This window comes from Homo sapiens, chromosome 3 (assembly GCF_000001405.40).
Source record: "Homo sapiens chromosome 3, GRCh38.p14 Primary Assembly".
Lineage (NCBI taxonomy): Eukaryota > Metazoa > Chordata > Mammalia > Primates > Hominidae > Homo > Homo sapiens.
This window is the reverse complement of record NC_000003.12, coordinates 29,479,419-29,496,774: the sequence shown is the minus strand read 5'-3', so window position 1 is coordinate 29,496,774 and position 17,356 is coordinate 29,479,419. Positions and strand designations below refer to the sequence as shown.

The following is a 17,356-nucleotide window of genomic DNA, read 5'->3' as shown; positions in this document are numbered from 1 at the left end:
CATAAATACCTATTTTGTTTTACATTTATATCAAGGACTTCTCAAAGTTAACACTAAATAATCATAACATAATTAATATCCTGATATTGGAAATAATAAGTTTGGAAAGCTAATTTTTGGCAGAAGTATTGCCTTTAGTTGTAGTTGTCTGGTTGGGTTGTAGACAACAAATAAAGACCATTTACCATCAAAGTGGATATTCTTTCCGAACTTGGCTGTAAGACAAGAAAAATTGGTATTTTCTTAAAAGAGTCACAGGATAAAAATTCTACGTAAAATGTACCTACAGGACAATTCTGAGTAAACTTGATGCACTAATGAAGGTTCCAAAGTTCCTGCATATGCTAACCTTTTCTGAAATGAAAACAAAAGCCAATATCAAAATCAAATAAAGCAAACCTTCAAGTTTATATATTGATGACCTATGACTGGTGGTAAACTTAATACTAGAGTAGATTAGAGTAAAATTCACAAAAAAAGGCTAGGGAAATATTACACACTTCATATTCCAAAGAGAAATATAATTTAAAATATAACTTTTTTTTGTCTTTTCTTTTTTTCTTTTTTTTTTTTTTTTTTGATGTGGGCGGGGTATACCTAATCCCATTATATGAAAATTGAATAAATGTGTTTTTCAAGCCATTTTGCTTCTCATGAGCTTCTTGCTCAATAGACTGTGAGCCCACCTGGTGGAGGTGATTATTCTTCTCAAAATGTAATTCCTCACACTCATAAATTTCACAGAACATTTATTTTAGTTTCCACTGCTTTCAAGAAATAAAGGTACTAGAAAAGAGGCTTTCCATGGTGTTGGTTTCTTCCTTTACTTGCTTGATTTCCATGTGGACCAGCCCTGGAAATGTCTGTTATCCGCCAGAGTTAAATAGTTCCACTTAAACATTTCACCACAAATGCATGTCAGTGTCACTTGTTAAAACTAATCCATAGGTAAAGGATACCTCATGTCCTGTAATTACTCTACCTAAACATATAACAAAATATAATATCCTGCCCTCCTTCCAGATTCAGGGGGTTCAACACAGAAATCTGTATTTCTGACCGGGCGCAGTGGCTCACACCTGTAATCCCAGCATTTTGGGAGGCCGAGGCAAGTGGATCACTTGAGGTCAGGAGTTCAACCAGCCTGGCCCACATGGTGAAACCTTGTCTCTAATAAAAATACAAAAAAAAATTAATGGGGCATGGTGGCGCGCACCTGTAATCCCAGCTACTCGGGAGGCTGAGGCAGGAGAATAATTGCTGGAGGTGGAGGTTACAGTGAGCCAAGATCGCACCACTGCACTCCAGCCTGGGTGACAGAAGAAGACTATGTCTCAAAAAAAAAAAAAAAAAAAAAGAAAGAAATATGTATTTCCCTCACATGTATAAATATTCCATCAGTGCATAAACAAGAAAAGTAAAATAAAATTGATGAATTCCAAAGTCATCCAAGTGTATGGCCTAATATTTATTCACCTAGAAATACTTTCAAAATGTATAACATGATTGTGAGTTTAGAACTGCTAAATGGATTCAGTCCAGTAACAAAGTCACACCACTCTCTGAGACAATCTAGATGGGCTCTAAATCCTCTCTATAAAATAAGTGTCATATGCAGAATTATTTCTCTTATAGAAGAAATAACAATTTATGATTTTATTTAATAATGAATGAATGAATGAATATCCTTCATGGATGATTTCAGAACTTTTGGATACTTGTCTCCAATTTTGATTTTAAGGGCTCAATGTTATGTCAAAGGTAACATAAGCTCCATAAATATAATTTAACCAGCCTGTGACAACAAAGGCAAAAGAGAGTATTTCAAACCCTCAGAAGTGAGCTGGTATGTTTGGCACACTCTATCTACTCTTATATCCTATGGTTAATAGGCATGGAAACTTTCTACGGAATATCCATTACTCATTCCCTCTACTCTAAACATATAGCCTGTCGGAAATATGATGGTGGTAAGGCTGGTGGGTGCAGGGAGAAAAGGGAAACCAACCTTCAAAAGCAGGAAGGCATAGACAAGTGAATTCTTTTAAGATTTACACCTTGTTTCCAATAGCTTTCATTTAATTTTCCCTGACTTTTTAATTTAGCAAATACACTGATCCAGAAGGAAAACACATGGGGGAAAACAAAAGCCAAACAAGCAAAAAATGCAGTGCAAATCTCTGTGTCTTGTACAATAGCTCTTATTTAGTCCTTGTGTTTGAATATCTGAATGAGAACTGTGGTCTGTTTTTCATTACTCCCCATCTGGAGCTGTTACTCGCTTTGTTCAGCAATTTCTGGTCATTTTGGCTTGATGGTGACTGCTTTGTTGTATGTTGTCATATTATACGGAATGAAAGCTGATGCAGCCACCACCCAAGAAAGAATAATCTTGAAAACGAGAGGTTATGTTGAAAGTTCCTGATAACCCCTTCCGGAATAAAAAAGTGAGTAAGCTTACCTAGGCCTGACTACTGTCCCTAACTTACAGGGTGTGGGTGGGATTCAGGAGAGCATAAAAGCTTTTCTTTTAAATGCTAAAATAGGATTCAATTCTGTTGGTTTAATGCATTAGGTTAATTTTTATACCTTTTCTTTTTATCTCTAAGGAGACAAGTTCATGGACTTTCTCATACCTTGGTAAAGACTAACTTACACACAATATGCTGTACGTGTAACAGCTAATGAAGAATTGAATTACTATCATGTCTTTAAAAATAAAAATAAACAAATCCTTCAGTTCATAATGTTTAGATTTAATTGTATAGCCTTTGCCTGGAGATAAAGTTGCAAAGGATTCAAAACCAAGTGTCACAGAGAAGACCAAATCCAATTTGTGTCCTCTAATGACGACAGTCTTGATGCTCTTAATGATTTTGTTTGAAAAAGGCACCTCACACATCCTGTAATTTCTTTCCTAAATAAAGCAATGGTCAAGAAGTACTCAATCTCTGCCTATTATTTTAAAAAGCAAAACATGTTATTCTCTCCTAATTCTTCACTATTTTCATCTGGAATTATTTTACAAAAACGAAGAACCATACAGTCATGAGTTACTCAGGTTCCATAGAAAGAACAATCAAAATATAAACATAATTAAAACCAGCTTAATTTTTCCAAGAGCTGTATTTTTTTCTTGCCCAAAAAAACAGAACAGATTTGGAGAAATGTTAAGATAATAATAATAATAATATATCACCCATAAGCCCACCATGTTAAAACAAACATTTTTGTCTTGCTTGATATTGCCAGTATTTTATACAAAAGTAACAGGAGATATCGTCAAACATTTTCCATGTATTAACTTTGTTAATCATCACAACACACTGTGAGTGAGGCTCTGTTATTACTTTGCTGATGTTCTTACCTTGCAGAAGGCACAGTGCAGTTGACTAATTTACCACAGGTCACACAGCTACTAAGCGAAGAGGCAGCGTTCAACCCAGGCAGCCTGGATCTACCACAGTCATAACCACACTGATCCTGACTCTCAAATATTTACATAGCTCCATGTTCAGTGTACACATTATTTTATATCCCTTTATATTGATTTAACTTCATATAATAAACATTTTTCTAGGCTTGGCATAATCTAGTCTTTATGACTACCATTTTAACAGCTACATAACAGTTGTATATGCTCCATAAGCTAGAATTTGGATGCTTCCTATATTTTTTCCTAGTAAGGAAAACGAGAGTGCTCAAAGTTGTACGTAGATACATAATTTAAAACATATGTTTAGATAACATATTTGAATAAATATTCTCAACAGACTAACTAGTTTCAACTGTATGCTCTTTATTGCTGTTTCCATACTGACTTTAAAAAAGCTGTACCGATTTAGCATGGTACCAATGAAGAATGGATGAACCAGTTTCAGAGTGAACAGCATGAATGGCCTACATGTTATAATGTTTGCTACTTCAGGGGTTATAAACTATCACTGCATATTGCTTTAATTTGCATGTTTCCCATCACTACCTAACTTACCCTGAGGACACTACTTCCTTTGTAGCCCTCTCAAGTTTGAGTTTTGTTTCTTTTTTTTTCTCCCATATCCTTCCTCCCACTGGACCTGTAAGTGGTAGTCCACTTTCCTCCTTTCTCAGTATGGTTTCTCCCCTACCTAAAATCTCCCATTTAGAATCTCACATCATCAAATTTTATAACCAACTAGTCTTCATTTTCATCATGGTCTACAGATCCCTAGTATCATTTCCCATCCCATTATTTCTCCGCAGATACTTTCTGGATTAGTCACTTTTTCTAATACAACTCCTGTTTCATTTCTTGGCAATTCCAATAAACATTTAGACGATTGTTTCAATACTCGTTCTTATCAGTTCCTTGAACCTTTCCATGACCTCATATCTTTCTCCTATTATTCCCTTGGTCATCATGAACAATTATACACAATTTTCTATAATTGCTGTCTTTCTAATCATATCTTCTCATATCTATGTCAAGGTCTATTTTTTGAAAGGAAAATACTCTAATATACATCGGCATATCATTAAAATAGTATTTTTCTAAAAACATGAAAGGGATAGTAGTATATTTTTGATCATGATTTGCTGACTTACAGGGCACCTCCCCCATGATGTGCTTGATGAAGGTTGTGATTCACTCACCACTGCTAAGCAGAGACTCTACATGCTGAGGATAAGCAAGGCAATGGGAGGCTTTTATAAGCATATAATGGACACACGATCACTTTGCCTTCTTCGTATTACCCTCAGGGCAAACGGTCTAAATGGTGTCCAATTTCTTTTTTTTTTTTCGAGACTGAGCCTTGCTCTGTCACCCAGGCTGGAGTGCAGTGGCACGATCTCAGCTCACTGCAAGCTCCGCCTCCTGGGTTCACGCCATTCTCCTGCCTCAGCCTCCCAAGTAGCTGGGACTACAGGCACCCGCCACCACGCCCGGCTAATTTTTTATAGTTTTAGTAGAGACAGGGTTTCACGGTTTTAGCCAGGATGGTCTCGATCTCCTGACCTTGTGATCCGCCCATCTTGGCCTCCCAAAGTGCTGGGATTACAGGCATGAGCCACTGCGCCCGGCCTAACCGCTGTCCAATTTCTTACAGATGCCTTTCTTTAAGTGATTTTCCTAGGCTGTTCCACAGCCCCGTCTTTCCTCCTTCCCTCTCTTCCTTCCTTTTTTACCTCCTTCTCTTACTCCTTTTCTTCTTCCATATTTATTGGTGAGACCAGTATTCATATCACTAGAGATAAAAGTATTTTGAAGCAGCAAACTCAACATTTTCATATTTATTTAAAATCTATGTATTTGTAAGATTATATTAATATGTAATGTTCACAAAAAGTTGATATAAAAAACAAAGAGAGATGTAAATTCTAATATTTTCTTTTAGCCTCTCCAATAAACAGTCTTGTATCACCCTTCACACATCCCACTTTGGAGGTAAGTTTTCTATAGCACACAGGCCCTGTTTCCACTGATTTTAGGAATCTCTCTACAGAAACAGAAAATTAAATAAGCTGTTGCAAAATAGCGTGGATAGGGATTTTAGGAGCTGATGTAAGGATAAGGATACCCATAGTATAATTTGTCCTGATAAGCACCCACGCTCCCACTATATAATTTGCTTATGGAGACCCTGACCGCCCATTTTTAGTTACATCCCTTTTTCTTCAAACCTTCACAGTTATAGAAGGGTACAGTTTTTGCATGTTGGCAATTTACATTTTCGTGGTCTTCAGAGTTGTACTGTGACAACAGATATCAGCATGCTTGAGCAAAACTCTGCATAAGGAAGTATCCCTTCATATTGACCGCTCCGGTTATGAGTCTATCTATTGAGGTTTCCAGGTGTTGCTTACCTGTGCAGTATTTGTGCTTCTGATTGGTGCTTGATTAATATTATTAACTGTCTGACCCAAGACTTTGTATATGGGTTGGGCAGGTCTAGATGCACTATAATTCGCATTCTAATGCTTCTAACATGCCACATGCTTCCCACAGGCCAAGAGTGACAGAACATCCCTTGGCCATGGCCCAGCTTTCTTCTCAAATGTTCTCCAAGTTCTCAACTGCCCACCCTAATTCACTCCACTCCATTTCCCCTTCTACACATTATTCTTTGGTAATCTTATCTATTCCTTTGACTTCAGTCAGCATCTGTAGCCCTGGGCTTTCTTACAATTTCCTCTTTGACATCTTCCACATGGTTGCCATGCCAGAGACTCTAACTCAGCATGTCCAACACCTTCTCCCCAAAACCTACTACTACTACTTCTGGACTTCTTACCTCACCAAGAGGCACAGGCATCTTTCCCAATCAGAAGACTCAACATGTATGTAGGGTTTGTTTCATACATTCCTCTCTTTCACTGTTAGAGTCAATAGCCAACTCTACCTTTAAAAACTTTCATGGTGAACCCCTTCCTATTACCCTAATAGTAATAGTTAAGCTGATTTTTTTCTAATTTCTCTATTGTACTATGGCTTTAAAGCCTACATTTTTTTTTGTTTCCACTCCCTCCCTTTATATTTCAATTTCACACACCTTTGCTGAAATAACATTACGAAACACCTGCAGAATCATATTTTGTCTGCTCAAAATTTTAAATTTTAATTTTAAATTAAATTTAATTTTAAATTAAATTTTAAATTTAAAATATCCAGGATATCATTTAAAAACCTACACAATTTTAACCCCTTTCTTGTTTCTGTCCTCACTGGTACTTTTTTTTTTTTTTTTTTTTTTTGAGAGGGAGTCTTGCCCTGTAGCCCAGGCTGGAGTGCAATGACGCAATCTCGGCTCACTGCAACCTCTGCCTCCTGGGTTCAAACGATTCTCCTGCCACAGCCTCCCAAGTAGCTGGGATTACAGGTGCCTACAACCGTGCCCAGCTAATCTTTGTATTTTTAGTAGAGACAGGGTTTCACCATGTTGGCCAGGCTGGTCTCAAAGTCCTGACCTCATGATCCACCCTCCTCAGCCTCCCAAAGTGCTGGGATTATAGGCGTGAGCCACCGCGCCCAGCAGTACTTTTTTTTTTTTTTTTTTTACAGCTACGTGGGTCTACTCAATTACATTCTGAAATTCTCTCTCCTGAACATCCACCTGTCCCAAGCTCACCCATTCTACCTTGACTTTATAAACTTCATTTCCCAAAAAGAAATCTCTATGTTCTCCTCTAACAGTGGTTTGTCGATAATTCTGTTTTAGATACCGCTGTTACACCCTCACATATATTAAGGTGATATAGTAATCCTAATAAGGATATTAGAATTAGTTTCTTGGTTTTCTTGGTGTCTTTTTAACTAGGACTTGAATCTATGAGGTGGAAGAAATCATGTCATATTATTCTTTGTCTTGTAATATGTAGTTCATTTCTGAGTTTATAGAAGACGTGGAATGTTTTTATTTTTTTAATTGCTGAATTGAATCTGACTACCATTATGCAAGTAGGTGAGGAGATACATATACAGGAGTTTCTGAGTGTTCTTTCCTAAAACTTGTGCACATTATGTTTGTATATGAAATAGAGGCAGTGTTTAGAATGAACGTGGCTGTGCTATACTTCTTGATTTCAGTGTTACAACAAAGATTAGATTAAAGGAACAACAAACAGCATGTTACAAGAAGCATTCCAATTTTCCAGTAAGAACTGAGTCATGCAAGAGAGACCATACAGGTTCCACAATTAATCTAATGCAAATTTTAAAAGAATATAGGACTCCCAGACATGAAGAAACATGAGCCACAGATATAGTCCAATGACTTCAGAAGTATTTCCAGGAAAACCAAAAGCCTGTCTTAATAAGATACCAACTCTGAAATCCCTGAGATGCTTATAGCTGAAGCTTAATACAATAGGCCCATCAGTAAATTTATTCATAGTCAACCAATGTTGCTAAAGCTTTAAAGAACAGAGAAATTAAAATGTGTTTTGCATGGGGAAGTTTTCCCCAGAGTTCCTCATTTTTATATAGGAAATCAATTTGCATCACTGATGATATCATTCACATCAGACACCCCAAAGTTGTTAGGAGGTAATTTAGTTTTATGCTGAAGCAATTTGATACTTGTTCTGATTTGTGATTTTCATTTTGTTTGTTAATGAAAAAAATGAATGAGCAATGTTACTAGAAATACAACTTATCAAAACATTGGCATCATTAAAGAGGTTTTCCATACTATGCATTGTGATCATTGTGCAGCTGGTACCTGGACCTCCACAATGGAAGAACCATTAATCAGATAGCATAGGCAAGATTTCAGGGTACGGATGCCCTTACACATACCTTTGCACTGATTTGTGTTTTTGTCAAGAATTGCCTTTGTAGATACAATTTTTCCATACCTGAAAGAGAGAGAGAGAAAAAAACCCATGTTATTGTAACCCATTGAAGACACTTAAAACACTCTAATGAACATCGGGGCACACACAACTGAGCATGCATAAACCAAGAAAACAAGCTCTGGATTCCCATTTCACACCTGGATGATGTCCTTTCACCAGTTCTTCTTTATAACTTAGGAATGTTCTTCCCTATGTAAGCAATGGGTTGAGCTTCAAAAATAAACTTGTCAGGCTGTCACAGGCAGCCAAAAGAGGATCACATGTGATTGTGATCACAGTAAATCGCACTCTGTGGATTCATGGAAGAAAGCATGGACCTTGGTGCTAGACTGAACAGGGTTTGCATCCAGCTCTGACTCTCACCTTGTGTTGTAACACTGCAGAGTTTAACCCAACTTCACTAAGACACAGTTTCTTCATCTGCAAAAATGAGAAGCTAAATATGTCAAATCTCCTAGTTCAATCAACATTTATGTCTTTGGGAATCCACTATATTAGGCTCCAGGAGCAATGTAATATAGTAGTTAAAAGAATATACGGAGACACCAAACTATCATGGTTCAAATCCTAATTTAGCCTGGGTATATTTGGTTGGCTAAGTAAGTAATATGTGCTTTTTGCATCATTTGATCATCTATAATAATATAAATACATTTATTTAAATAATGATTTGAATTATTTGTAATGATATAAATATTTTTGTAAGTATATAAGATGAGGATAATATTGTCTTCTTTATAGGCTTTTTGTGAAGGTAAAATGGGGTTTACCTAACGTGCTGAGGACAGTGGCCGACACAGAGTAAGTATTATTAATGTTAGCTCTTCTTCCAATGATGCTCTCCCTGCTATCAGCTATATAAAAATGTCTCCAGCCCTCGGCATTCTCTGAGAATGATGAGAAGTGGAAGGGGGTAAAGATTCTGTCCCCAAAGCTTCAAACATTACTACTTAGACTGTCAAAAAATTCCACTGAGAAAATTGACATGTAAAGTTATTTGCTAAAAGATAATTACATTTACAGTTTACATCGTTAGTTTTAAATGTTAGGGATTTCATTATGTTCTCACTCTACCTAGTTGTACAGATACTCACCTGTTCGAAGCTTTTTTGTTTGTTTCATATTATCAAAATGACTATTACCTCATGCCTATTACCACACGAGATTATTCCCTTTAAAAACTCCCAATCCTCCCTTTCCCATCTCCCCCAAAACACTCTTTTTGGAGCTCTATTTCACCCCAAGAGTCTCTCTGTTGGGAAAATAACCAGTAAAATAAAATCATATTTGAACAGTCTCTTTACTAGACAATGATTCATCGTACCTACAATCATACCCATTAACTAGCTGTAATGTTAGCTAGGTTTGAGCTATTAAGGTAAATAAATATTTGCAAAATTATATGTATCTTAGAGTAGAAAATAAGGGATAAGAGAAGAAAATGTCACTGCATCTTTTTTTTCCACACCAAGCACCATTAATACAATATGTGAGAAGTAAAAATCAGAAAAAGAAAGAAAAATTAGATCAGGTATAACTATCTTACACCAGGCACATAAACCCTTAAGACAAAAATCCTTCTTAATTGGTTTATAAAGGTGTTCCTGAAATTTTTATATAAGAACCTTCTAAACTGAAATTTAGCTCTGTCTTAAATATGAAATTAAACATTACTGTGTTTCATAGTGGATTTCATCTCACAACTGGACTGTTAACAATAGTCAATGGCATGCATATTGTCCTACTGTATCAATATTACAAGAATGTCCTCTACTGCATTAAATGTAGTATATGTAATCACTTTTACAGCAAAAAATGTTAAATGTTTTCTTATGGAAAGCATTTGTGAGTATTTTGACAAGTAACTTTTTTATAAACAAAGAAAAAGAATTTTATTTCTCAGAAATTATTACAATATTACTATCAATGGAAAATCACACACAGAGTCCAAAAAAGCAAACCATACTATTTCTTGATTTCCTTATTTCTAAACACTCTCTAGGCCAGACTTTCCGACAGCACAGAATCACAAAACAATGGAACACAACTCAGAGTACTTGACGCAACATCTACTATGACTGGAGTAACAGGAATTTCATTCCATGGCTCCGTTACAACATTCTGCATTAACAATTAATTTGCAAAGCTAGGATATGCTTTAAACAACAAGAGAAGGTACTTAATGGGCCACTGGTTACAGTTCATGTCTGAACTCTCAGGATGACAAACAGGTACTTTCTGCATGACTGGCTCTGTATTCTCTGTGATCTGCAAAGTCAACAACTGATGTAGATAAATAAGGTTTAGATTTTTTTTAAAGACGTAACCACCATAAACACGAGACCCACGAATGTAATATACCTATGAAATTATGCTTTTATCAAAGTATACTAGTAGATTAGAATGAAAACTACTCTGCAGATTAAAAGTACATGATTTTATACACTCCGAAGGAAAATAAAAATTTCTGAAGTAAAAAAGTATGCCTTCAGGTATATAACCTCATTTACTTACTCTTTCCCTTCTTAGGGTTTAGATCAAGACCTTATGTCTTCATAAAGTTCTTTCTTCAACTATGCCACCCACCATTGGAAGCAGAAATCTAATATTAGAGAAAATTATGTGACCAAATTGCTGAATAATGCCTGGAAATAGACACCTGAGCACAAGTCCCATGTGCCTCCTGACTCCAGAAGCTTTCAGACAAATCCAATTCACTTATCTATCCTTTCATTTCTTACAGCTAGAGGAGATAAAATACTATCCACAGTCTACTTCCTTGGGGGTTTGAACTTTTCAAGGGAAATAAATAAATGAAGTAAATATATTTTACACTATAGTTCTTTCTATGTGGGCCTTCTCTAGCCAAAGTAGGAACTCCCTAATACAGCATTGCAAAGATGCTTTTTGGCAACCCCATACCTACATATTCACCAACTATCCTGAGTGCTCATGTATTCTACAAATATAGCCAGGTCTCTAATGACATTTTCTTTATATTCAAATACAGCCAGGTCTCTAATGATATTTCTTATATTCTATTTTCTTTATATTCTAAAGAGTATGCTTTAAAAGAGTAGCTAGTCTACAGTAACTATTTGCTTATTACATTTTTGAGTTTTCATAATTTTATAAATGTATATATTGTCTATCAACTTTTTAAAACACTTTCACCCTAGCTTGTCAATACAATTTTCATATTTAATTTTTTAAGAGAAATAGCCAGTTCTTTTCTGGCATTTATTCTTAAACAGCATCTGAGTCAAACTATATTTGTTGATACACTTGATTATTCCACATACAAGCCTAATTTAAACTAATGGCATCTTTTATTTTCAAAGCTGAAGAGAAAATAGAGTTATTATGGGTCTACTCTTCATGAATTATGAAGACATCAAATTGGTGGGATCCTTCAATAAAGAATTTATTTTTAAACCCTTTTGCTGAATCACCCACTGTGTATATTAATTCAAAAAATACAGGCAGAGACTGAAAATAGAGTCTCCGCAGTCAATTAACTCTCAGCTAACTCATTTTTCACATGCCTTCTATATTGATACCAGACTAGAAAAAGGTATCACATTTATTTAATGGATGAAACATTAGCCTTTTAGCAAATGTGGTTGTTTGCCTACTTCTAGATGGCTCATTCATTCTTTGGCATTTGAGGATGGTAATGGAGCATATCTGTAGCTTTAGGGACCCAGTTGGAATGTTGTAGGGCTATCTCTCTGATGGAATACATCAGCCACGTTTCACCTACAAGTTTACAACCCATTTATATTCTGAAGTTTTAACAAGTTCAATCTACAAATGGGTCATCAAAGTCATGCATAATTGTTATGGACTGAATTTTGTCCCCTCAAAATTAATATGTTAAAATTGTAATCCTCACTACCTCAGAATGTGACTGTATTTGGAGACAGAGCCTTTAAAGAGGTAATTAAGGTAAAATAAGGTTATACGATAGGCCCGAATCCAATATGATTGTTGTCCTTATAAGCAGAGACAGGCACAAAAAGACCATATGAAGTCGTAGAGAGAAGGCAGCCATTTACAAGAAAAAGAGAAAGGCTTTAGAAGCAGCAATGGTGCCAATACCTTGATCTTGTATTTCCCACTTCAAAACTGTGAGAAAATATATTTTCATGAAGCCACCCAGTCTGTGGTACTTTGTTATGGCAGTTCTAACAAACTAACACAATAATCTTCTCTCCAAGGCCTCCTGAGCTTTGCAAAAAGAACAGAGGTGAGAGGATTCATCAGACAAGACACCTTTCTAAAATGCTTTGCTCAATGATTTTGCACTTGTCCCTTCCAAGCTCTTACCTAAGACCTTCAAGCTCTTTCTCATCTAACATTTGTGTATGATAACAGAAGCCTAGAAGTCTCACAGTGTTACAAAGAGCAGACAACAAATAATCCAGAACCTGGTCCTTGGTCTTGTAATCTGGGCAGTGTTTCTTTCCCCGGAGAGATAATCAAACTGTGATCATGCATCCACACCAAGTAAACTTTACATGTCTATTGTGCAAACTAAAACGTCTTTTATTAACATACTATTTCGGGCTAATACCTTACAAAGAACACAAAATAAGATTATCTAGCTGGGAGATTTGGAGAAAAGTTCCTAGAAGAGGAAGTGTTTGAAGAAGGGGCAATATTTTGTCAATGAGGAATGATTTTTATATGTCTTAGAGATTAGAAAAACAATTGTTAAAAAAATGAGTCTTTTTTCACGTCAGTGTATTACTACTTAGCAAATTTCTATTTTCATGCTACAAAGAGCTTCACCAGGAACCTAGGGCTACAAACAGCATTTCGAGTTTGATATACTCAAAGTAAGTGGTTCTCCATGTTTAACGGGCAGCAGAACCTCTTAGGAGGCTTATCAACACAGGTTGCTAGACTCCACCCCCAGAAATCTGACTCAGTAGATAAAGAGGTGGGCCTGGAGAGTTTGCATTTCTAACAGGATCCCAGGTAAGGTTGATACTGCTGATGGTGCTTTGAGAACCACTGCTCCAAAAGACTAACACACAAACAGCAAAGAATGTGGTTTGTTATTTGCAATACTCCAGAGACTAAGGGAACTTTCTTTCTTTTTCTTTTTTCTTTTTTTTTTTTTTTTGTTAAGACGAAGTTGCTCTGTCGCCCAGGCTGGAGTGCAGTGACGCGATCTCGGCTCACTGCAAGCTCCGCCTCCAGGGTTCACGCCATTCTCCTGCCTCAGCCTCCCGAGTAGCTGGGACTACAGGCGCCCGCCCCCAAGCCCGGCTAATTTTTTTGTATTTTTTTTAGTAGAGACAGGGTTTCACCGTGTTAGCCAGGATGGTCTCGATCTCGACTAAGGGAACTTTCTGTCGATATGGAGAACTACTTTTAAAACTTCAAATAAATTTTCCTTCATATAATACTTTAAATTGAAAATGGTAGGCTGGGGGCGGCGGCTCACGTCTGTAATCCCAGTACTTTGGGAGACCGAGGTGGGTAGATCACGAGGTTAGGAGTTCGAGACCAGCCTGACCAACGTGGTGAAACGTCGTCTATACTAAAAATACAAAAAATAGCCGGGCGTGGTGGTGCACACCTGTAATCCCAGCTATTCAGGAGGCTGAGGCAGGAGAATCACTTGAACCTGGGAGGCAGAGATTGCAGTGAGCCGAGATCGTGCCACTGCACTCCAGCCTGGGTGACAGAGCGACACTCCGTCTCAAAAAAAAAAAAAAAAAAAAAAAAGAAAGAAAGAAAGAAAATGGTAGACTGTGTACTTTTTCAGAGTTTTGCCTGATGATATTCCTCATTTAGCCAATATAGTAACAACTTACAACTCAAGTATAGCTGTTTTGAAATTTGCTTTCAGATACCTTCTAGAAACAAAGTCCAAAGAAAACATTGGCAATGCCTATGTAAATCTCTTCTGCCACTTGAAATAACTAGTTGCTAAGTAGTAGTTTGACTGAATTACAGTGAAAATCTTGTGAGGAAAAATGGCAAGCAGATAATGATTAGTAACTGGTTTGTGCCTTTCCTTGTTCTTTAATTAGAAATAGATGTAAATCTGGCACAAAAATAGCAGACCAAAAATGCATACTTTCAAGTTCTAAAATCAAAAGAAAATCACTTATTTGCTGGTTCTCAGAATTAGTAACTCTTGGGTTATGCTTTAGGTTATATAGTTGGGTTATGTAATTTGGGGATATATATAACCTGTCACCTTAGCGAAAGTTTATGAGAAAGGGATTTCCATACCAATAGAGTCAGAAACCTCACATGCATCTGAGTACCTTCTACAACTGATTCCAATGCATTTCAGCATATTTAACATTCTTTAATATTTGGCCAACTAATATAGAAAGAGGATGAGGTTTAGAATCAATTAATATAGACTTGAATCTGAACTCTCCCACCCACATGACCTAGGGCAAATTACTCAACCCCTCAGCACCTGTTCCTTGATCTGTATGATTACTATGTTCTGTTTTCTATAGCAACTGTAAAAATGAAATAAAATAGTATGTATTAAAACTCCTAGCACAATGTGTGACATGTTAAAATTGATTCCTTTCTCTTATTAAACCCTCCCTTATTACCTATACATTTACTGTATAGCATAAAATAATAACTCAGACACTAGTATCTAATGACCATTTGATAGAGCCAGTATGTCCCCGTTCAATGCTTCTAGAGGCCCCAAGGAAGCACATGATTTAGCATTTATGCTTTCTAATTTGTACTCCAAGTCAATTCACAGTTTCTTCTTCACTCACTCAGTCTCCTTCTGCCAATACCTAGTTACTTGCTCAGACTGTTCTCCAGGCCACTTGAATGCTGTCTCCACTACCTTCCCATATGCTTGTCCCTCCTAATCTTTCCACCAGGATCCACCGCTCTACTTCAGTACCTCTATTCAACCCTGTTTTCTATTGTCTCCTTTCCTGGCCATCACCCAAGAAAGCCATTATACCTGGTTGACCACATCTTGACCATTTCTTGGTTCTCACTGCCATCAACTTCTCATTTGTTCATGCATAGTTGATCTTGAACAGTACCCCATCTCCAGAACCATTTGCCTTCTAGAACCTAACCATGTAGTATCAATTCTCAAGTTCTTATGTAAGTGGCTTTCAGATTTTGGAGGTTTTAAAGGTCTCTCAGGAATTCATGGGTATCCCTTTCAAAGCCTCTCATCTCCACCCCACTGTGTTTCATTTAGCTGGCACCTACTTTTATAACACTTCCTAGACACTAGCCCTTTTTCTAAGTTCTCTACATTTTTCAACTCATGTTAGTCATTGCAACAAACCCATGAGGGAGGCACTATGTCTAACTACATTTTACAAATGAGGACACTGAGCTAGCCACAGGGTAAGTAACTTTCCCAGGGTCACATGACTAGGAAGTAGCAAAAGCAGGATCCAATCTCAGACAGACCAGCTACAGAGTCCAGGCTCTGCCAACACTTGTTGCCTCTCAGCTCTAGTGCCACCTGCCATTCTCCTGTCTCAAAAGAAGACCTGCTTCTCCTTTTCTCCCCAATTGGTATTCATCCCTGTGATGTCTGTGACCTGTTCCCCTATCTATCACCTATATTTCTCTGAAATGTACATGCTTTTTCCCAAATGCCAGGGCTCTTTCCCCTCTGCCTGCCCTTAAACATGTGCAAATCCTTTCCATCCATACACTGGTTATCATAGGGTGTCTCTCTTTTCATTTACTGCCAGACTTTTCTTGAATGATTGCTCTACTCAAGCTACTTCTTTCTTTGTATTATCCAGTTTCTGCTTAATTCCTAAACACTGACTTCTGTTGGAACAATACTTTGAAAAGTGAACAGTAACTTTCTAATTGGTAAAAATATTCAGTTACTAGCATTGACTTCTTGGCACCATTTGACCTCCTAAATAGCTTCCTCTTGAAATATCCTTTCCCTGGGATCCATGCATTACCTTCATCTGGTTCTTTTTTTCTTGCCTGTACTTTTTCCCTTATCTCCATCACTTACCCCTTCTCTTCCATCATGTTCCAGAAAGTGTGTGTAGACAAGCTGAATCCTCAGTCCAGTTGAGTTTTGGTGCTACAATATCCACTACAGTAATAATTCTCAAAATGTAATGTGCATTGGAACATCTGGGTGGCTTCTTATAAATCTGGGGCCTCAACCCCCGAGTTTCTGATTCAGTTTGTCTGAGACTGGGCATGAGCTGATCCCAGGACCACACTTTAAGAACAACTGTATTACAAATCTTCTTTATTATCATGCTTTGAATTCCCATTTCTTTGTGTTTCACTCTCAAAATTTCCTCTCCAGATCTGCCTTCGCCCTCAATCCTCAGTCCTGAATCTCCAGTTAGAGTTATTAGATATTTCTCCTTGTATGCTGAATGATCATCTCAAATGACACAACAAAGTTCAACTCACCATCTTCGCCTTTTTCTTTTCTCTGAAAGTATTTTTAGGGCAGAAACTAGTCAGGTATTGAAATGGATACTGGATAGAGACCATGAGGACCTGGAGAACTTACGCTTCAACTGATGTGACATCTGCTTGTCAGCTCAACCAGTATTACCATAAACAAATATAATCTCAGCATTTCCAGGCCTTCTGATTTTTTTGAAAGACCTTGATTTTTAGGCAATATTTCCCAATTTTTTAAGGTTGGCTTAGAGATTTTACAAAGCAATGCAAAGGAAAAATAAAAAAATTTCCAAGCTGACTGAGCCTGAAGAATCTGTTTGTGATCTTGGAACTATTGTCTAATTTCCCCTTTTCTTGCTAAATAATACAGGTCCTTCAAAACTAAATTCCATGTTTTGACTTATTTGATCACCAATTATTTCTCTCAAATCTGAATAGCTGCTGTGCTCACAGCCTGTATGAAAGCACCCAGTACTTTATTTATATATTTATTATTTTATATGTTGTCTGTTGATTCCCCCATGAGATTTTCTCTTCAATGAGACCTTCATTTTAAAGAGGCCCAGATCAGTATAGAGCTTGATGCATAATAAGCCTCCATGAA

The 17,356-nt window shown here is 37.0% G+C and overlaps 1 protein-coding gene across 12 annotated transcripts in view, besides 1 other annotated feature; it reads right to left on the bottom strand.

Annotated features, from left to right (window-relative positions):
- Positions 1-17,356, bottom strand: part of RBMS3 (RNA binding motif single stranded interacting protein 3) — a 729,325-nt gene that overhangs the window by 513,621 nt on the left and 198,348 nt on the right. For all 12 annotated transcript variants that reach the window (XM_005265061.3, XM_017006180.2, XM_017006179.2 and 9 more), the window contains exon 3: positions 8,276-8,334. In XM_005265061.3, the coding sequence (XP_005265118.1) occupies positions 8,276-8,334 (59 nt within the window). The remainder of the gene's footprint in view (positions 1-8,275; positions 8,335-17,356) is intronic.
- Positions 4,215-4,384: an enhancer, noted in NCBI's record as "experimental_69111 CRE fragment used in MPRA reporter constructs". NCBI's record gives its function as "activates a minimal promoter by MPRAs in K562 erythroleukemia cells, with activity observed for the introgressed 3:29533967 variant allele {active_cell/tissue: K562}" and the evidence as "EXISTENCE:reporter gene assay evidence [ECO:0000049][PMID:34662402]".